Here is a 20,024-nt window from a genome sequence, read left to right as displayed (position 1 = left end):
GAAAAGGGAAGGGAGGCAGGACGACAAGGGGTGTGTTATCAAGAAAATGTGGCTATGGATATGCTGGGCTGTTGGAGATTAATCCCACAAAAATACCCTGGGAAACTTGAAGCACAGGTACCTCAAAGCTACCCCATCTGAGGGCCAAGGGAGGTGGGATATTTATGCCTCAATTCCTGTGGCTATCTGGTGCAGGCTGTTCCTGAGGAGTGATAAATTTCAGATTTTATAACTGCTCTGCTTGGGAAGAAAGGCCATTCTGGGTTTTGGAGAAAGTCCTCAGGTAAAGAGGGGCGGGTGTTGGCAGTTAGAAGTTAGGTCAGTGCATACGGAAGAGAGTTATCGACTGCATCTGCTGTGATGGCTAAAAATATATTTCTTAAATTCATTTAATAGCTATAAATGAACCTCAGTACTCATAAAAATATCACCCTCAATTGTGTAGGTATTTCAGGAATATTCAGAAAGACTAATTGGCCCCGTGTTCAAACATAAATTGCCAGGTATGAAAATGAGGACTATTCAAACTATCTCAAGAACAGAGTGAACAGATGTAGACTCAATTTACTGTTTGTTGGTAGATAAAATTCTGGATAAACCCCATATTTGCAATAAAATAGGAATAAAGAAAACTTCAGTATAAAGAAACTACCACAAAACAGAGGCAAAGCTCAGGGGAGAAATAGACTGAGCAACAGAAGAGACCAGAAGCAGGAAGGACAGAGAAAACAGGCGCCATGGTTCTGCATGTTTTTTAATGCCAGGTATCCCCACCACATAAGTTCTGGTTAGGGGAGCATCTTGGCCTGCCTGCAGCTGGTTACAGGCTCCCTGGAGGGTCAACGGACTCTAAATAGGTATGAATGGCAGTGATTTCTGCAATTTGTTCCAGCTTGCTATAGGGAAAGTCAGATGGCTGCAGGGAGTACAAGTATGGAAAGAGTTCTGTGGTCATGGTCTACCTGGTATTGCCACTTGAATGCTTTGATCAGTGGTTCTAAATTAAGGGGTAAAATTTACACTTTCTAAATTTCCAGTTCTCTTGCCCATTTAATGTTCCTAATCAATGGGCATATTTATCCTGGCTACTTTTGTTGGCATAAAGTGCTAGGTGTTTAGGAAAGGCTAAAGGTGTGGAGGAGAGAGAAGTCCCCAAGGGACACAGGATATGGACACTTTGGGAAGTCGTTTCATTTGAAATTAGCCCCCCCCACCCCGCATTAAGTACCTTGCTCACTGTGGGTACAGAATAAATGATGAACTAAAATTATTCTATGAACTATTTTGGATCCCTGAAGGTATTGGAATTTAACCCAAAGCTTCAACTAATCATGATAGTTTTCAGGTGTGACACTTTTCAAACGAAACGGAAAATAGTGGCAAAATTAGCTGTGAAATGTAGTCAGTTAAAAGCACCAATTTCTCACTTTATCTTAGAACCAGTCTATAAGGTGTCGAGTGTGATGACTTTGAAGAATTTGCTTCCACATGGTCAATGCTGTAAAATGAACTGAGTTTACAGTTGTTCCCCAACTTCTAAAATGTAAAAATCTCTATGTAAAATGACAGCCCTGAGTCAGATAAGAGTTTCATACAGTAAAGACTGATTTAACTATGTTTACAAGAGAGATCAGCTTATTAGAAACATGAATAGATGAATCAAAAAAATTCTGATGTATTCTCTTGTTAACTAGATGATTCAATGAACAAACAAAAGCCTGCTCCCTAAAGGGTCTTAAACTTTCATTAACTAGAGAGGTAAAGGGGTCTTTGAAAGAGCTCACTCCTTGGGAGCCACTTCTAAATTTAACAGAAAGTACTAAGCAAATCTCCTTCTTAGGGACAAAATTTTTTCTTCTTTGGATGAATGACTTAAGGAAAAGTTGGATATAAAAGTAGTGAAATATCAACTAGTGGCAGAGAAAAAGAGACAAGTGCTTTAAATATGAAGTAGACTTTTTGAAAATGATTGAGCCGAGTGTGAGGAAAGGCATTCAACTTTGGAACTAAATGGTTTATTATTTAGTGTTGGGAATTACATATGTATATATTGTCTCTCTAACATAGAAATCAGGTATGTTCCATTAATCTTACTTATACAGGACAGATAATATAACTACAATATTTAGCACATATTTTAAATAACTTTTAAAATGTGTATACATATTATTTAATTCTATGACTTCTCACAATTTTAGAATTATTATTTTCATTTTACAGATGACAAAACTAGAGGGCCCAAAAGCTAACATCTACCCAAGATCATATTTTTTAATTGGTGAAGGAGTTGTGGAATGTAGTCTTTGTTCTTCTGACCCCAAAGCTTTTTCCTGCCACCATACTTACAAGTGTGAATTGTTCTGGTAATTTGTAGCAAGCCCGAAGAGCTGAGGGCCAAGGTACCTTGCTATTGCTGTTTTTACCCTTCTGCAGATGTGGAATTGAGGAAGATAAATTCCTGGAATTGCTTCAGCTCACAGAGCAGTTCAGCAAAACAACTGGAATCAGGACAGACTGTCCTTGCATTCTCCCTTTCTCCTTTCTGAAGGGGAATGAATTTCTCACACATGTTCAGAGCTTGATTGGATTGGGCATGACAGAGGGTGGTTAAGCACACTTTTTCCCAGGTATGACGTATATCTGCAGCTACTCAATATTAATGTTCTTTCTGAGAATTTACTTCATGCTCTGTAATTTCAGGTCCAAGTAGTTAACATCTCTTTTTACCTTCTTGAGTTTTTCTTAGCACAGTCATAACAATTAAGCTCTTAAATAACAAGAAACTTTAGGAGATTGAAATACAGATTAAAGGTGTTTCCCGGAATTTCATGTGCCAATGGGCAAGAGGCTCCAAGTTCTTTAGTTACGGTGACTAGCAAAGGAGTATCCTGTGGACATAATTATTCAGCTTTCACAATTATGAGAACCATTTACTGTGGCTTCTTTAGCAGCATCTTTGCTATTGTTCTTATCCCCGATGTGTGACACATCATGGGGCATGGCATGGTCTAGCTGTGCCATGTGCTGGAGCGCTCTGCTAGGCATTCATTTTGGTTGGTAGCAACAGTTTATGAAATAATTGCAAGTAGTTTACCTGAATTTCCATTACTGTTTTTGAAATAATTTTTGCAGATATTTATGTTTATTATATGAATATCTTCAAATGTTGATACCCTGACACCTGACACTTAACTAACCCAAGCCTACACTAATTCCCACCCAAAAATCTGTTCTCATAAAACTGATAATTATGGTATAGCGTGTTTTCTTAGTCAGAGTGGCTAAAACTTAACATCATCTTTGAATTCTCTTCTTTCTCAGGCAATCAAATACTACGTTTTGTTGTTTCTGCCTTCTCAATATTTCTATAATGCTGTGTTTCCCAAATTCAGGTGCATGGAATACTAGTATCCAGTGAGACGTTAACAGGCTTTCCATGTGATCAAATGAATTTGGAAAATGGTGCATTAAAGAATGTTAAATATGCTTTTTATGGCAAGATTTCTCAGGTCTTCAATATGTTTGTATGCATTTCAAATGTTTAACAGGATAATGTAATAGATGACATTTCTAAAGTTTGATCAAACATAATCCCTCCAACTTGCCATAATATAAATATTAATAATAATGTTGACACTAATAAATATTTAAAGATGTTTATTGGTAAATAATAGTGTTCTGTTGAATATAGTTTGGGAAATACTGCTGAATCCACTCTTTATTTTCTTGACAATTTTCTACTTGAACCTAGTCATTTTGCTATAGGTTTCTGGAGTGGACACTTAACAGTTATCCTTATTTCTAACCTCTTGTCTCTAAATCTGGTGTTTTCGCTGGTAATACCTTTTCTCTTTCCAATAAATAGGTCAAATTATGTTTTCCTTTTCCTGAAAGCTATTTAATTTTTTCTAATGTCTCTAGAATAAATTATTTATATAATAAACTCTTTGGTACACATTCAAAGTCATTGCTGATCAAGCCATAGTACATTTTCTGTTTGATCTCTAAACAAATCTATATTCTTTGCTGATGGTACCCATTAATCTGAAGCAAACTTATATTCCTTTTTAAGATTCTTCTCATGCATCTGTAACCCAAGTATTATCTGGACTAAACTGTTCCAATATGACTTGCCTTCTCCACCTCTAAACATAGAAGATGATGGCACTAATTTTGAGCATTCTGCCTCACTAGATACACATTTCAAAGGAAATATAAAAATCAAGTGCAAGAAAATAGGAATCACACACAATCCTGTCACTTAGTAATAACTGTAGTTATAACTTGCCATATAGATTTATAGTAATATATATTTATATATCCATGTCTGTCTGTATATTTATATCTATACCTATGTTTATCTATAACCATCTTCACACACATGCACACACACTGACACACATACACACATGAAGGTCATGCTGTACTGTTTTTTCAATTAATGTACATATTAGATGACAAAATCAAAATCCCAAAGGGAGTTTGGAGCATTGTGTTGAATTTAAAAAAATGCATTTAAAAATTGGTATATATAAATGTGTGCAAGTGAATTAAAAATACACAAAACAGAGGGTGCTTTGTAACAATATGTGTAGAAAAGACTTAAAGGTTTTAGTTCAGAGGAGGTAATGTGTATCCAAACGGGTAAAGTGTTAAGTGACTATCAAAAAGTTGATGGGACTTTAGCATTACTGAAAATTTTGTATCAAATAAGAAAGAAATGTCAGTCTTACTCTAGTTTGCTTTGTCAAAATATACAGACAGCGATGTGTTTTATTCTGGGCCCCAACAGTTAAAGAGATATAAACCAAAAAAGAATTTGTTCATAGGAAAGTGATCAGGGTGGTGCAGAAAAACAGATGAAGGCACTACCAAGGGCAGAGAAGTCTCAAAAGGATGTGAAAACAAACTGTCTTTTAATTTCTGAGGAGCTGCCATGTGAAGGAGACATTAGATTTACTCCGAGTGTTCTAAAAACATAGCGTTTTGGTCAAGTACAGGAAATACTATTAAAATTTAACACACTTAATTTGCATTAATTCAAAGATTCTCATATTTTGCTCTATGTTGAATACCAAAATCAAATAACATATTTCTTCCCCTAACATATTGAATATGTGATATTTCATAGTATTGTTTTGTCTTATTATTGTTTTAATAATACCTTAACATTATATATATTTTTTCAAAATGATTATTACAAATTTACCCTTATAAACACATTCCTCTTGCTCCGTATGATTGCCAAACTTTGATATAGATACTCCTTTTGCTTTTGGCCATTCAGAAGGGTATCAACTGGTGTCTGAAAGTGGTTATAATTTGCATTTCTTTGAATATATTTTAATATGTTTACTGCCTATTTGAATTTCCTCTTTTTTGAAGGGCCCATTCAAATCTTGTCCATTTTTAAAAATAGGCTTTTTCTTATTAATTTGAAGGAGTCCTTTATATGTTCTCAATACAGACAAAAGGCAGATAACAACCTCAGAAAGTACCTAAGATTTGATTTTTCTAAAAGCAAGAGGCTTTCTATGGAAGAGTCTAATGGTTTGCTGGTACCTGGGAACCTCTGTACCACTGGGAGTGGCTTTTGTCTATGTGGCTGTCTGTGGCCCTCCTGGTACTTATGACTCTGTCTATGTAGCCAGTCGGGTGTCCTAGAGGAAGAGCTGGAGAGACTTCTTAGTGCCATTGCTCATTTCACTTGAGGGTCTGGGACCCTTGACCATGCCTCATCTCTCAGATCTAATCTCCCACCTAAGATTTTGGGATGTGAAAGGGAGAAGAGATGGGGCTAGGGTTCAACAAAACCAGTATTTCCCTCTGTTTTTGGCTGATGTGTATCTCTACCAAATTCACATGTTGAAGCCCTAATCCCCATTACCTCAGAATGTGAGTATATTTGGAGACAGGGCCTTTAAAGAGGTGATTACATTAACATGAGGTTATTAGGATGGGCCCTAATCCAGCCTAATCTGTGTCTTTATAAACACGGGAAATTTGGACACACAGAAAGACACTAGGAGTGTGTGAGTACAGAAGAAAGATCATGTGAGAAAAAAAAACAAGAAGGTGATCATCTGCAAGCCAAAGAGAGGGGCTTCAGGAGAAACCAATTCTGCTGACATCTTGATCTTGGACTTCCAGCCTCCAGAACTGTGGGAAAAAAAAATTTCTGTTGTTTAGCCACCCAGTTTGTGGCATTTTCTTATGTCAGCTCTGGCAAACTAATATATCCTCTGATCACTTTCCATGTATATTTTACTACTCTCCATTACCACCTTTTCCTCCATTTCTCCTCTCTCCCTTCCTTCCAGAGATGTTGGGAAAGCACCTTACTCTGTGCATGCCCTATCCTAGGCCCTGGGATCAGAGCAATCCTGCACATTCCTGATGGCTGCACTGTGGGAGGCTACACTGCAGCCATGATCAGCTATGTGCTATGGCCAGAGCCAGTCTAGACATTACTGTGAATGGCCGTTGCTTCCTCCTCATGTGAAACTCTGGTCTTGCCTCTCATCTGCTGGAGATTTACAACTCGGTTCTACCATTTTTTCTCACCTATTGCAGATGACAAAATTCACCCCAAGTGTACCAGCGGATGAGGGGTACTTAGAATGAAGATGCCAACGTCAAAGAATTTTCCTTTCCCACTATTGTGATTTTACTCCCGCTTTCTTCTTCAAAGACATCATGGGAAAATGCTAAGCCCACATCTATTCAGGTCTAAAGAAACCAACAGCAAGCTATCCTATTTTTCAGCTACTGAGAGAACTGGGTGAATTTGGGGGTACGGAGTGGTGGGTGGAGGGTGGGTGATCACTGCTTAGTGAGCAATTTTCAGTACCAGCCTACAACCTTCAAGTCACCAAGTTAGCTGGGAACCTGAAAAAAGTCCCATTTCTTTGACACCAGCAACCCAGGCCACAGTCCCAGTGTCGTAGGAGCCACTAAATCATGTCCTACAGCTCTCAGGCTCCCAACACTGAAAAACAGTCATAAATCACGTGAGTGGTTCTGGGTGGATGGAGATCACTCTTTGCCACGACTGATACAGAATATTATCTAAAGGCTTGTTTGACGTTTGTTTCTCTTTCTCTCAGGAGTTTACCTTAGGATCCAGGGTTCTTAGCATGGATTTTATAAATTGGCTTCACAAGTTCTTAAGCTTCCAGAATTCTGTGCATGTGTAGGTCTATTTTTTTTTCTCTAGAAGAAGATTCTGATTCTTAAAGGGGTTCAGAGACTACCACAATAGTAAGGGTTGTTAATTTTTGATACCCACATAGATTTGACTTAAGCAGAAAATTTTGTACCTGTTTCTCTCCTTTTTCTAGGAGCGTGGGGTAGAGAGTCTGTTTTTACAAAGTTATTCTTGGTAAAACACATGTGGAGTTGCCACATTTGAGTTAAATATTTTGATATTACCACATATGTTTCAAATCATTAACATAACAAATTAAGGACTATAATTTTTTTGGCATTTGTTATTTTAAAATAGTTCCCATAGATCTCCAAATTATCTTTTGATGAATTTTAGTTTCATAATATAAAAAAGATAGTGTTTTCTTAACTTATATTTTTTGATATGATTCCAGGCCCATTACCAAAAAGAAGAGCTTGTCTGAGTCATTCCAGGAGAGGCTGACCAATTTTTTTCATAAGAGTTTTTAGAGTATTTTTAAATTTTCAATTTTATATTTAGCTTTTCTGTTCATTCTCTGCTTATACAACAACTGACTCCAATTAGATTTTATAGAGATTTATAAAGCAGACATGTATTTTTCGTTTTTTGTCTTCTGATATGTATTATCCACTATATACTTCAAATTATTTTTTAACCAAACGAAACACTGACTGCAGAGTCCTGCCAATTATTTCATTTTCTCATAATGCTTCAGAGCACATACAGAATATTTAAATAAAATTAAAAGTAGCAATTTATTTATTTATTTGAGACAGAGTCTTGCTGTGTTGCCCAGGCTGGAGTACAGTGGCACCATCTTGGCTCGCTGCAACCTCTGCCTCCTGGGTTCAAGTGATTTTAGTGCCTTGGCCTCCCAAAATGCTGAGATTACAGGTGTGAGCCATTATACCCTGCCAGAAGTAGCAATTTAGTTGCAATAGGAGACATTGAAAAAATTTCAGATGGTTGTTAGGACTTTGTGTAGCTTTCATAAAACAAAAATTCTTCAAACTGTGTTAAAGGCAGCTTCAAATTAAACACTAGATTATTTAACCAATTTTTGTATTGAAACTACTAGCATCTTTTATGGACCTGCAGTAACCTTTTGACATATTATGCTAACTTTTGTTTTTTTTGGCTTGATTTCAACAGTACATAATTACATTAATGTGGGTAATAAATTATGTGAGAAATATAAAAGAGATTGGAATACATTTTTAACCTAAGTCATCTTTCAAATTTAGTTTTCTTCATTAAATACAACTTTTGCTCTCCTGTTCTTATGTAAAGGAGGAAAAAGTTGGGTTGTGTAAGGCAACTAGAGTGGAGAATTTAGTGTGGTTGGATGTTCATCGGGTTTTCTTAATAACTTCTTCTTTCCCAATTTACGAGTGTCCATTAGTTCAGGAATTGAGCAAACTCTCAGGGGAAGAAAGTCGGGGAAATTATTAAAAGTGATGATCCCTTCTCCTTCCCTTGGCATGACAGTCATTTCCTTTCCACACAGTGTGTTCAAATGACCAACTATGGAAAGTATGTTTAAATAGCCGACTGCTCCCTGTTGAGTCCTGTAAAAAGGGAGAAAGTGTTATCTAAATGGAGCGTTTCTTTATTTAACTGTCAATTATGGATGGGAAGTGGATAAGAGAGAGAGGCAGGGATAACAACTGTGGAGAAAGTGCTCTGCTAGGTTCTTCTAACCCAAACCAGCAGTGCTGCAGGTGTCCAGCATGCCTCCTTCCTCCCTCAGCCTGGATAGGCATAGCTCCTTCCCTGTTAACATCATTAGGCCTCTCCATTGCTCACTGGAATAGCAGAATCTAGGTACGTTTGCACCATCTCTTTGGTTTTCTCTTTTACCTGCCTATGCTTCACCCCTGTTTACTTCCAGAGTTCTCTTTTCCAGTCACTCATTCTAACTCTAAATTCTTGCCAATTTCCCCTCCTCACTGACTTGGGTTTTCCCTTTTTGCAGCATTCATCACTTTCTGGGGAAGTCTTGTAAAAGACTTTGGGGGAACATTTGAGGTTCAGGTAGCAAGAAGCCCAGCAAGGGGAGAGTGTGTCTGTCAACAGAGAGATGACAGATGAAAACCATCTCACTAGCTGTGGGGCATTAACACAGACCAAATAAAACAATGTGCTGTCTGGCTGAGCCTGGTCCATGAGCAGAGCCTGAGCTAAGCCAATTTAAATGACTTGATCTATATTCCTGAATACTTACCAAAGGTGGCAGATTGAAGGTGAGAATCAACAGCTATAGATTTGGCATAATGTAGGATGAATTTGCAAGATTACCTGTTCATTGAAAGTCATTGACTAGGAGACCCAGATTGCATTCTGGCTGGTTCCAGATAAATTTTCCCATTGTGGGCTTTAATTTCCTAACCATAAAACAAAGGCTATAGGGAGAGGTAAAAGCGCTGGTTTCTAAAGTTCTTTTTTTAAAATTTAATTTAATTTTAAATTTTCAAAAATTTTAGGCAAATTTCACTTGGATGGTTTCTAAAGTTCTGAGCTCTAAAATTTCATGATTTTAGGACAATTTTGTCAAAATTTTCTGTTTTGTTAGCTTGCCTCTGTATTTAAAATTCCACATTCAGAGGTGATTTTGTAAAACTTATGTTGGGGAGGGACAATAAATTATGGCAGTATTAGCAGAGGAATAATTTTTATCAGGAAGCTAGCTACAGAATGCAGCAACGTGTAGGTGAAGCTTGGAAAAAAATTGAGCTCATAAAGTACATTGGCAGGGGATGATTTCTCTATAATAACCTGAGCCTCAAGGTGCTGGGTGTTGAGAAATGAGTAGAAGGCTGAGAGATGGAAGTCCCCAAGGCCAAACCTATATTTATGTTTTTTCAAAAAGTAGTGTGATGCTGCAAGGAAATGGAACTTCCAGACAAAGTTGCTGTGGCTTAGATGACTCACTACAAAGGTACAACGATCAGTTTCCCCAGGATTTATGCTACTTCTCGGAAGAGAGAGAATTTGTAGAAAAAAAGCTGATGAAAATTTAGAGATCTGTTCTATAAACCTAAGAGAGGAAGGAAGCAAAAGATGCTTATGATTTCATACTACCTTCTGTAGGTTTCACAGATTTGAAATTTGAATCTACATCAAAGAAGCTGAAAAGAAAAAATTAGTCAAGGCAGATGAGCATATCATACCACACCTCTGCCAGCAACACCAGAAAATGAGGAACATTCAAAGTGATACTTGGGCCCAGGAAGAAATCACTTCAGTGGGGGTCAAAGAGGAGAGGCTGTACAGGCAAGGGGCCTGGGCCTGGTATCAGATAGATTGGAAATGAAACCTCGCTCTCCCCTCTTAACTGTGCATTTAGGCAAGGGGCTTCACTTCTGTAAGTTTCAGTTTTGTTCTCTGTAAGATAGGGGTTGCTATGTACTCCTTAAAGTTGGGAAGTGAAATGAAATAACTTGAGAAGAACGAGATATCACTTGTTTTCAAAGAGTTGTTACTCATATCATTAGCAGGAAGACCCTGTCCTTAGGTGGACACGTTACATTTAAAAAATGAAAAAGTTCTTCCCAATAATACTGGTTAGTGTGAGACTAACACCTCAAGATTGGCTTTGCTAGCTTCAGTTCCCTCTCACTGCCCTCTTGACAGAGGAAGAAGTGAGCCATGAGCAGGATTTGCCAGTGTCTAACGTTCAGGCATGGAGAATTCCACGTAAGGGCCCAGGATCTCTAAGTTTCCAGAAAGTTCTGGGAGATATTTCACAATCTCAACATGATCCCTTGGGCACAGGATTCTCTCTCCCTTTACATGCGTTAGTGAAGTCCAAATTGTGGTCTAATATCACATACATAGGAAATCCCATCATGTGAGTTTTTAAAATGTGAAGGGGCAGAATTCTGAAGAATTATATCTTAGACTATGCACACTTCAGTATGAGTGAGTCGCATGTGACAATGTGCTGACAGTGATGACCTTCCATTTGTGTGCTAAAGTGACTTCCTGTGCATTAGCAAGGTTGGAATTAGATTATTTGAGTTGCACTTTCTAAAGTTCTTTATGTCTTACACATGAATTGATTGTGCTTTCCTATACTTCTGAAGCCATTTACCCTACCCAAAAAATAATTTAAGCCAAGTGTTACTGTCTCTTATTGCAAACAGAACATACGATTTGCACAATGAGATTTTATTGCTTGGCGTGCATGACTTTAGCGTGCTTTAGTGTGAAGTAAGTTTCCCAAGCCTAGAGGATTTGGCATGTATAAGAGATTGAAGTTTTCATTTTAGGTACCCCCTCCCCCAGGTGTCTCCAAAGATGAGGGAGATGATTGATACACTAACAGATGTTTTGTTAACGTCACATTTCCAGAACTCTTCTTACTCAGGCTAATAGCATTGCATCTGGTTAGCTGTACTTACCCTTTTCAGCTTGTAATTTTCCTTTCGCTAAATTATTATTGACATCAACAAGAGGCAGACTTCCTCAGTGTTGTGTAGAACACTGAAGCATGCCTAAAACAACACAGGGCATAGAGATATCTTTTCTATTTATTTAAATTTCAATCTCTTTTGACACGAGGTCTCACCTTCAATCCAAAACACTTCAGCCTTCCTGGCTAAGAGGGCTAAATGTGCCCAAGGCAAAGAAGCTGCTGTTTTCTTCTCTTCCGTGTTTCTCACTTCCTTCCCCTCTTTGATTCTATAGTGGGCTTAATGGTAGCCACAGAAAGCTGTGTCTGTGTTTTATGTCTTAATTCCTGGAACCTGTGAATGTGACCTTATTTGGCAAAATGGTCTTTGCAGATGTCATTAAATTAAGGATCCTGGGAGAGGGAGCTTATCCTGGGCTATTCAATCACATGTATCTTTTAGGGTACAGGTGCATAGGAGACATACATGGAAGAGGAGGAGGCAATGGGACTGCAGAGGCAGAGAGGACAGTGATGAGGCCAGAAATCAAGGATTGTCAAGATCAATCAGAAACTTGAAGAAGCAAGGAGAGGATTCTGCCCTAGAGCTTTTGGAAGAAGCATAGCTTTGCTGACAGCTTGATGGTGGGCTTCTGCCTCCAGAACTGAGAGAGAATGCATTTCTGTTGTTTTAGGCTTCCCAGTTTGTGTAATGGGTTGCAAAGGATAGTAGTATAGCTCCTTTTCACTTTCTTTTCTGCCTCATTTCAGTTTTTCTATCCTTTTCTGCATTTGTCCATTTATCTGTCTCTCTCTCTCTCCCTCTGTCTTGTTGTATCATTGCCAAGACAAAGTACGTAACAATAATTAATGCATGTGGGTATGATTGGACTTTTTTGCAAAGTTGATTTTGACTGTTAAGCCAACTGACCATGTTTTCAATATTAATGAAAATACAAATTACTTGGCAGTTTTGTTAAAAATGCAGAATCCCAATGTCCACCCTAACACATTTCTGATTTTACTGGTCTGATATGTGACCTGTGAACCAGTATTTTTTAACAAGAATCTGGGGGATTCTTTTATAGATGGCCAACAATCCATACTTAGGAAAGATTAAAGTAAGGCATGGTTCCCTTTGTCTGCTCTCAAGAACTGATGTATATTTGTGGTATAGGGTTGTCAGTCTAAAATCCCATTACAATCCAGGAAGTAGTGCCTATAGAATACCAAATCCCAGGCCTCTGTAAAAATATAAGTAACCTGAAAAAGATTTGGTTAGACTCACATTTAACAATTCACAGTGGCTAATTCAAGGAAATGAGGGTGGTTCCTTAACCTTTGAGTAGAAAGCTTGGTTGGGGAGGGGTAGCATAACATTTCCCAGCATGTTCCTTACTGCCACTGCCTGGGAGTGGATTCTAGATAGGCCTGGCAGGCCCACGTTCCCACACACTGGGCCAATTTTTGTTCCTGGCTCAGGGCTGTGCTTACTTAGAGGGGTAATGGCTTTGTCTGTTTTGCTCCTCAGTGGGATACATCTCCCATCTATTTTGTTTAGGAACTCTAAACACAGTCCAAAGGGAAGTTCAGCTGTGGAACTCTGAATAGGATCTGGCTAGAAGCAGCCCCAACACACTTTTTTTTTTTCACTCTTCTCATAGTCGTTTTCAGACCTGGGAGGTTTTTCAGAAGACTTGGTGCTGCAGGCTGTTGCCTGAAACCACTCATCAAGGAGCATGTCCACCTCTTACTTCTTGGCTGGCTGTAAACTCTGGTACATTCAGCACAGAAAGTGGAGGCTGAAGAGGGTCATCAATTTGTGTCTAAAGGAGGCCATTGTTTACCCCTTATGAAAGCAATGGGAAGCAGAGTCTTTTTCTCCTACTTCCCAGAAACAGAGTAAGCATACCCTTATGAATGAGAAATGTTGGTGTGTTAGGCAAGTTTCTTATAAGAACCCCATTTCATCTTGTCTTTACTCTTTCTGGATGCCTTCAGCTTATACTGCCCTTATCTCTTCCCTACCTCCTGATAGCTCTCCTCAGATATTTGACATGGTTTCCTGATGATGGCCTGTCTTGACTCATTGTTTAATTGCTGTGCAGTGCTCAAACTTCTCCTTCAGGCAAACAGAGTAAACACACAGCACATTCTTTACAAATTGATTTAAAGTCTTGGTCTCTATAAACATGCGTGTGCAAGTATCTTTTTTGCATAATGACATATTTTTCTCTGGGTAGATACCCAGTAGTGGGATTGTTGGATCAAATGTTAGTTCTACTTTTAGTTCTTTAAGACGTCTCCACAATGTTTTTCATAGTGGTTGTAATTCACAATTGCAAAAATGTAGAACCAACCTGAATGCCCATCAATCAATGAGTGGATAAAGAAACTTTGGTGTATATATATGATATATATATCATATATATATATTACATAGGCTACCAATAAGTGTCTGCTGTCCCCCTAAATTATACAATTACCCTTTTAATTCCTACAAAATAAAGTTCATATACCTACTAGGATATATATATATATGATATATATATAACACATATATATGATATATATAACACATATATATGATATATATATATATATAACACATATATATGATATATATATCATATATATATGATGGAATATTACTCAGCCATAAAAAGGAATGAATTGTATTCACAGCAACCTGCATGGGATTGGAGACTATTATCCTAAGTGAAATAACTCAGGAATGAAAATGAAACATAGTATGTTCTCACTCATAAGTGGGAGCTAAGCTATGAGGTTGCAAAGGCATAAGAAGGGCACAATGGACTTTGGGGACTCAGTGGGAAAGAGTCGGAAGGGGGTGAGGGATAAAAGACTACAAATTGGGTTCAGTGTATACTTCTTGGGTGATAGGTGCACCAAGTTCTCACAAATCACCACTTACTCATGGAACCAAATACCACCCATTCCCCAAAAACCTATGGAAATAAAAAATTTAAAAATAAATAAAGTCTTTGGTCTCTTAAGAAGCTGAACTTTAAAGTATGGTGTTTCCTACCTATTCATTAAACAGTGTTTCTCAAACTTTATCGTAAAGATTTGTTATAACAGATATCACTGAGTCACACTCCCTGAGTTTCTGATTATGATTCTGCTAGAATTTGCATTTCTAACAAGTTCCCAGCAGCTGCTGCCAACCGTGGAACCACCCTTGGAAAATCACTGCTTTAGGGAATCTATCTTTTTTACTTTGCTTTATACTTTCTGATACAAAAGCTTGTATTTTATATCCTTTGAGAAATAAAGATGTCTTTGTTTGCAACTCAATTACCCAGAGTGCAAAATGGGTGATAAGCCAAGCAAATGTGATAAGTACTTCTCTAAGTGTAATGATGCTTTAAAAATAGCCAACCATGACTGAGTGCTCACTTGCAAATGGTGGTTCCTTTGCAACTCGGTAGGCTGCCTCAGGTGTCATGCTCAGCTTTCCATCTCCTGCTTTTTGGCCTACAACTATTTTCCTATGGGCAGCCCCTCAATCTCAAGTTACATGTTCTGACCACATTCCATTTTCTTTTACTCCAATCCTCAGGGAGCTATCTTCAGCATACCATACCTAAGGACTCTCACGGATTTGAGAAAATTTAAAAATCGTCTCTCTTCCTCCCAGTATCAACTTTAAAACACATGAGTATCATGTGCTTTAAAGTATAATGTATATATACTCATATAGTATAATGAGTGTCTTAATGTGTATTGTGCACTTTTAATTCCAGGCAAGACTCTTCAGGTTAACATTACCTTCTTATGCCTATCCTCATAAGTGTTTGTGAGCTAGATTGCAGAAAACTTGACATTCAAAAGCCCTTGCTCTTTGAAAGAGAAAACGTATTGTGAGAAAATATACATTCATTTTGATGAATGAAGCAGAATTGGATGAGATCAAAAGTTTTGGTTAATCCGTACTATTGTGGGACATAAGTACAACCCTCAAAGTTTCTACTATTTCAAAGTCTTTGTTCCTTGTTAGGCTTCTCAGGGCAAGTTTGATCCCTGGATGAACCTGTTCCCTCAACTTCAATGTTATCTGCTTAATAGATCAGACATTATAAAGTTTCTTCTGTTTCCTGAATTTCTATTGAATCTAATGCCTTTGTCACTCATTGTGCAATGTCTGGCTCTTCATTCTTTGCATGTGGAGACTGACTGGCCTACCTCTCTGCACATAGTAGGCTTCACAGGTATAAATTTGCAAATGTTTAGTTTTTTTTTCCCATCATAAGATTAAAATGATCAAATAATGAGACTAAAAGAAAACAGAGAACTAACAAAGAGAAAGACTAATATTGTAATTAGTAAGCAGGAAAGAAGCAAGAGTCTTTAAAAAAGACATCTTGCTTGGAATAGGTTGTGAAAACAGCTGCTCCAGAAACTACCACTCATATGTCCAGAACTAATAAAACTATTCTTCAGCTGTTTTTCATTGAAAAAAAAATGAGAAGAGGAGATTGCAAAACAAAAACAAAAACAAAAACAAAAAACTGTGCACAAGTAACTACTCCAGACGAAGCTCCGGGCATTCTAAATTCTTTGAAAGAAATACACCCTAAAAATGTCATAAACAAAATCTCAGCTCCTCTTCCTTCTCTCAAATCCTTTACACCTCAGGATAAAGTAATACAAATTTCAGACTTGGAGTGCAGATTTTATTTTTATTTCTAATCATTTGTAATTAGGGAGTTTTTTTTGTTTAGTACAATCTGTCCAGCCAGTAACTTCCATGTGCCAAGCATAGAGTGGCATCCTTGGGCCTGTGAAAGGGAGTAGTAATTAGAACTGGATGAATCCCATTTGGCAGAATGGTCCGATGTCAGGTCCACACCCTTGTTCTTGAAATTCAGAGAAAAATTAAATTGGTACAAAAATAAATTCTCTTGAAACATTTCCTCCCTGGGCTTGACATTTTGGTGCTCGGGTTCTTTTGATGTTTAGCACCAAACATTGAGGAGTAAATAACAATGGGAACCCTTCTGAGAACACCACATAAACATGGTAATTTATAAAGCAGATGCTGCTAAATGCCCAGCAGTCTGACATTTTAGACTGTTGTTGGAGGTTGGAGTGTTCTTTATGCTCTTGGGTTGCAACTGCAATGTTCATCACCTGCTCTGTTAACTGAGGGTCTGGAGTAGTAAAGGCATATCCCGTCAAATGTGAAGGCTATCTTACATTTGGCACTGGTTGCACAGTTCACTAACAGAGAGATTTAAACTGTATATGTTTGTGTGCCGCGTGTATATAGCTTAAAAATAACAATTACAAATATAATGTGCTTGAGGTCTTCAGAAAAAAAATATTTAAAAAGGAAAGAATGCCAGAGCTGGAAGGCTCTTAGAGTTCATGCTTTTTTTTTTTTTTTTCAGCCAGTCATTATAGGTTAAAAAAAACTGATGTCAAGAAAAGGAAATGATTTGTTCAGGGCCTCACAGTTTTCTGCCACTTTCTATTTAGAACCCCAATGAGATATCAGTGACTTTCATTCTCTGCTGTATCATTGCCAACACTTTTTAAAAATGAGGCAGAAAAGAGGGCCATGAATCAGGCTGAAGAGTCCAGATGAAGAGGATTAGTTGTTGCAGAAAGAGCTGCATGTATCAGAAAGAACGCCTGTAGTAGTGGCACAAGGGTGCCTGCCCCATCCTGCTCAGCTGGAGCCACCACCAGCGATTGCTGGTAGAAACAATCTGCACTGTGTCCAGGGAAGCATTTCTCCTTCATCTCAACCTTATGCTTGTTCCCATTTACCAAGATATCTAAAGTTGTTTTTCCCTCCCAAGGGTCAGAAATGCTCACTCCCATTTAAGATGATTTTTTAAAAGTTGACAACTCCATGTCCAAGACTAGATAACAAAACTCTTTCCCAAAGGTCAAAATCCAACAGAGCAAATCTTGCTCATGGCACAAGGTGGGATTCTGATTCCTTTTTCAAAGACAGTGAACCAAGAGTGAAATGGAGGGAGGAGTCGTGCAAACCAAATGCAGACACCCCAAAAAATAACCAGACTGTCAGAACCACAATGTGGACCTAGAGCTTCATTCAGCACTTTTCTCAGTCTCTCAAACCTTTGACATTTTTTTTTTCTGACCAAATGTAGGAAAATAAGTCTCCCAGAACAGAGAGCAGAATATCTTTTCCAAAACATTAGATTAGGCAGGCTGACTGGGGATCAAAGCAGCTCTTAATGGGATATGGGATTAATGATAAGGCTCTCTAGTAAAGAAAAAAAATTAGCTGAAGTTGAATTCAAGGTCAAGATAACCTAACATTATCCTAGAAAAAGTTAACTTCCTCAATCAGTCTTTGTCTGAAAGGTTTTGAATAAAAATAATAGCATGCAATTAGTAAATAGATATTTTAGGAATCCCCAAAGATTTGAAGACATGAAGTTTCTTTTTTTATATCAAAAACATTAGGGGAGAGTGCAAACTCAGGCCCCCACTACCATAAATTATGCACTCCAGCGTCTCACATTTGGGGGAATATCAGGAATCAGCACCTCGGAGGCAATGGTTAAGCCTCACTCTGGGAAAACCACCTTTGTGATCATGGGATCTCTCCTGCCAGGTAAATATTACACATGAGGTTCCTTGAAAAAAGAAAATTTAAGAAATGAATGGAATCAAGTACCTTATCTCGTAAAAAAACTATAATACTATTGAGCGGGAGGAGGACAAGAACTGTGTAGAAAAAACATTCTTAAGTTGGGAATATTTTAGTATGATGGCAAAATATGAATGAAACTTAACCTTGATAAAGAAAATGAAACTATGATAAAAGAAAATATTTTATTTTTCTAGGGTTAGAGTTCACAGAATATAGCAGGCATCTGGGAATATCTTCCAGTAAGAGAGTTCATGGGAAGTATGTATGCAAAGTGATGGAAGTTCCCATTTACTGGCACTTGCTGTGGGTCAGACTCTGGGTTACTAGTTTACAAATGATATCTAATTTAATCCTTAAAACAACCCAGTGAGTCAGGTGTTTTCACTTGTATTTTACAGGTAAAGAAAATAGAGGTTTAGAAAGGTGAAATAACATGTCTAAAATATTACAGCTAGCAAGTATAGGAGCTAGAATTCTAGTTCTTATCTGTCTAGCTCCAAACTTTTTACTTTAACTGCTGGGTTGCTGTGTCTGTATCCCTCGTCTTCTTTAACCATTTCTTCTTTAACCAAGTTCAATCCAAACACCTATCAGAAATATCTGTAAATCTGGAAAGTTAAACCAATTCTTTATTTTATTTTATTTTTGAGACAGAGTCTCACTCTGTTGCCCATGCTGGAGTGCAGTGATGGGCAACACTGCAGCCTTCACCTCCTGGGCTCAAGTGATTCTCCCACCTCTGTTTCCTGAGTCGTTGGGACTACAGGTACACCCCAATATGCCTGGGTATTTTTCAGAACTTTTTTTTTTTTTTTTGGAGAAACAGGATCTCACTATGTTGCCTAGGCTGGCCTTGAACTTTTCAGCCCAACTGATCCTCCAGCCTTGGCCATCCAAAGTACTGGGATTAGAGATGTGAGCCACCATACCCAGCTAAACCAATTCTTTTAAATTTCTCTGGGCTGGATTTGATAGTTACTAATCAAAACACTGAACCCTGAAATAGATTGAGATTTAAAATACATTTAAATTACACAATGTTTTGCATATATATGTAAAAATATGCATAGTTTACCATTTAAAAAATACAATCCATCTAAATTTTAAAATTTTCTAGCATAAGCATATCTATATGAGATTACTGTTTTTAAAACTATGTCATGCTTTTTTCATCCAGCTTTAGTGTTTGCTAGCATAAGCATATTCATATTAGATTAACATTCCATTGGGTTCAAACACTTGCTTCAGCTTCAGTAAATGCCTGTTAGTCACATTAGAAATCTGTTTTTGACATTTGCTATTTAACAAGCCCATTATTTGGCAAGTATTTTCTTAAAAGTGGCCAGTTAAAGAACGTCTGTGATTTGGGTAGCTTGTCTGAATAAATGAGGTTATGATATTGCCCATAATCAGCTCAAAACTAAGCTTATATTTTATTTACAAGTTGGCAGTTAACACCAGTCTGATGAGAAAAATGCTTCCATTGGAAAAATGTGGGCCAAATATTGAAGAGAAGCAGTTTTTTGTACATCTCATTTGGATACAGCTTGAACTAAAGGGCTCTCATTTGGCTCTGGTGATGGGGGTTCATGGTTCACCTTTAAAACTGATATGGTCCTTACCAACCTCATATTCTTTGCAAAATCTTTGATCAGTTTGCAATCCCACTGCATACTCAAACACATTGGTAAGCTGACTATCATGCAAGTACATCATAGTATTAGAAAGATGGGTGATGATTTGGTCCACAGCAGCGGGTAACTGTGTCCCCTGATAGGTACTGGGTA

The 20,024-nt window shown here is 37.7% G+C and overlaps 1 pseudogene; it reads right to left on the bottom strand.

Annotated features, from left to right (window-relative positions):
* Positions 18,045-18,206, bottom strand: RNU1-150P (RNA, U1 small nuclear 150, pseudogene; annotated as a pseudogene).

This window comes from Homo sapiens, chromosome 5 (assembly GCF_000001405.40).
Source record: "Homo sapiens chromosome 5, GRCh38.p14 Primary Assembly".
Taxonomy (NCBI): Eukaryota; Metazoa; Chordata; class Mammalia; order Primates; family Hominidae; genus Homo; species Homo sapiens.
The sequence above is the reverse complement of the archived record's forward strand: the minus strand, read 5'-3'. Positions and strand labels throughout refer to the sequence as shown.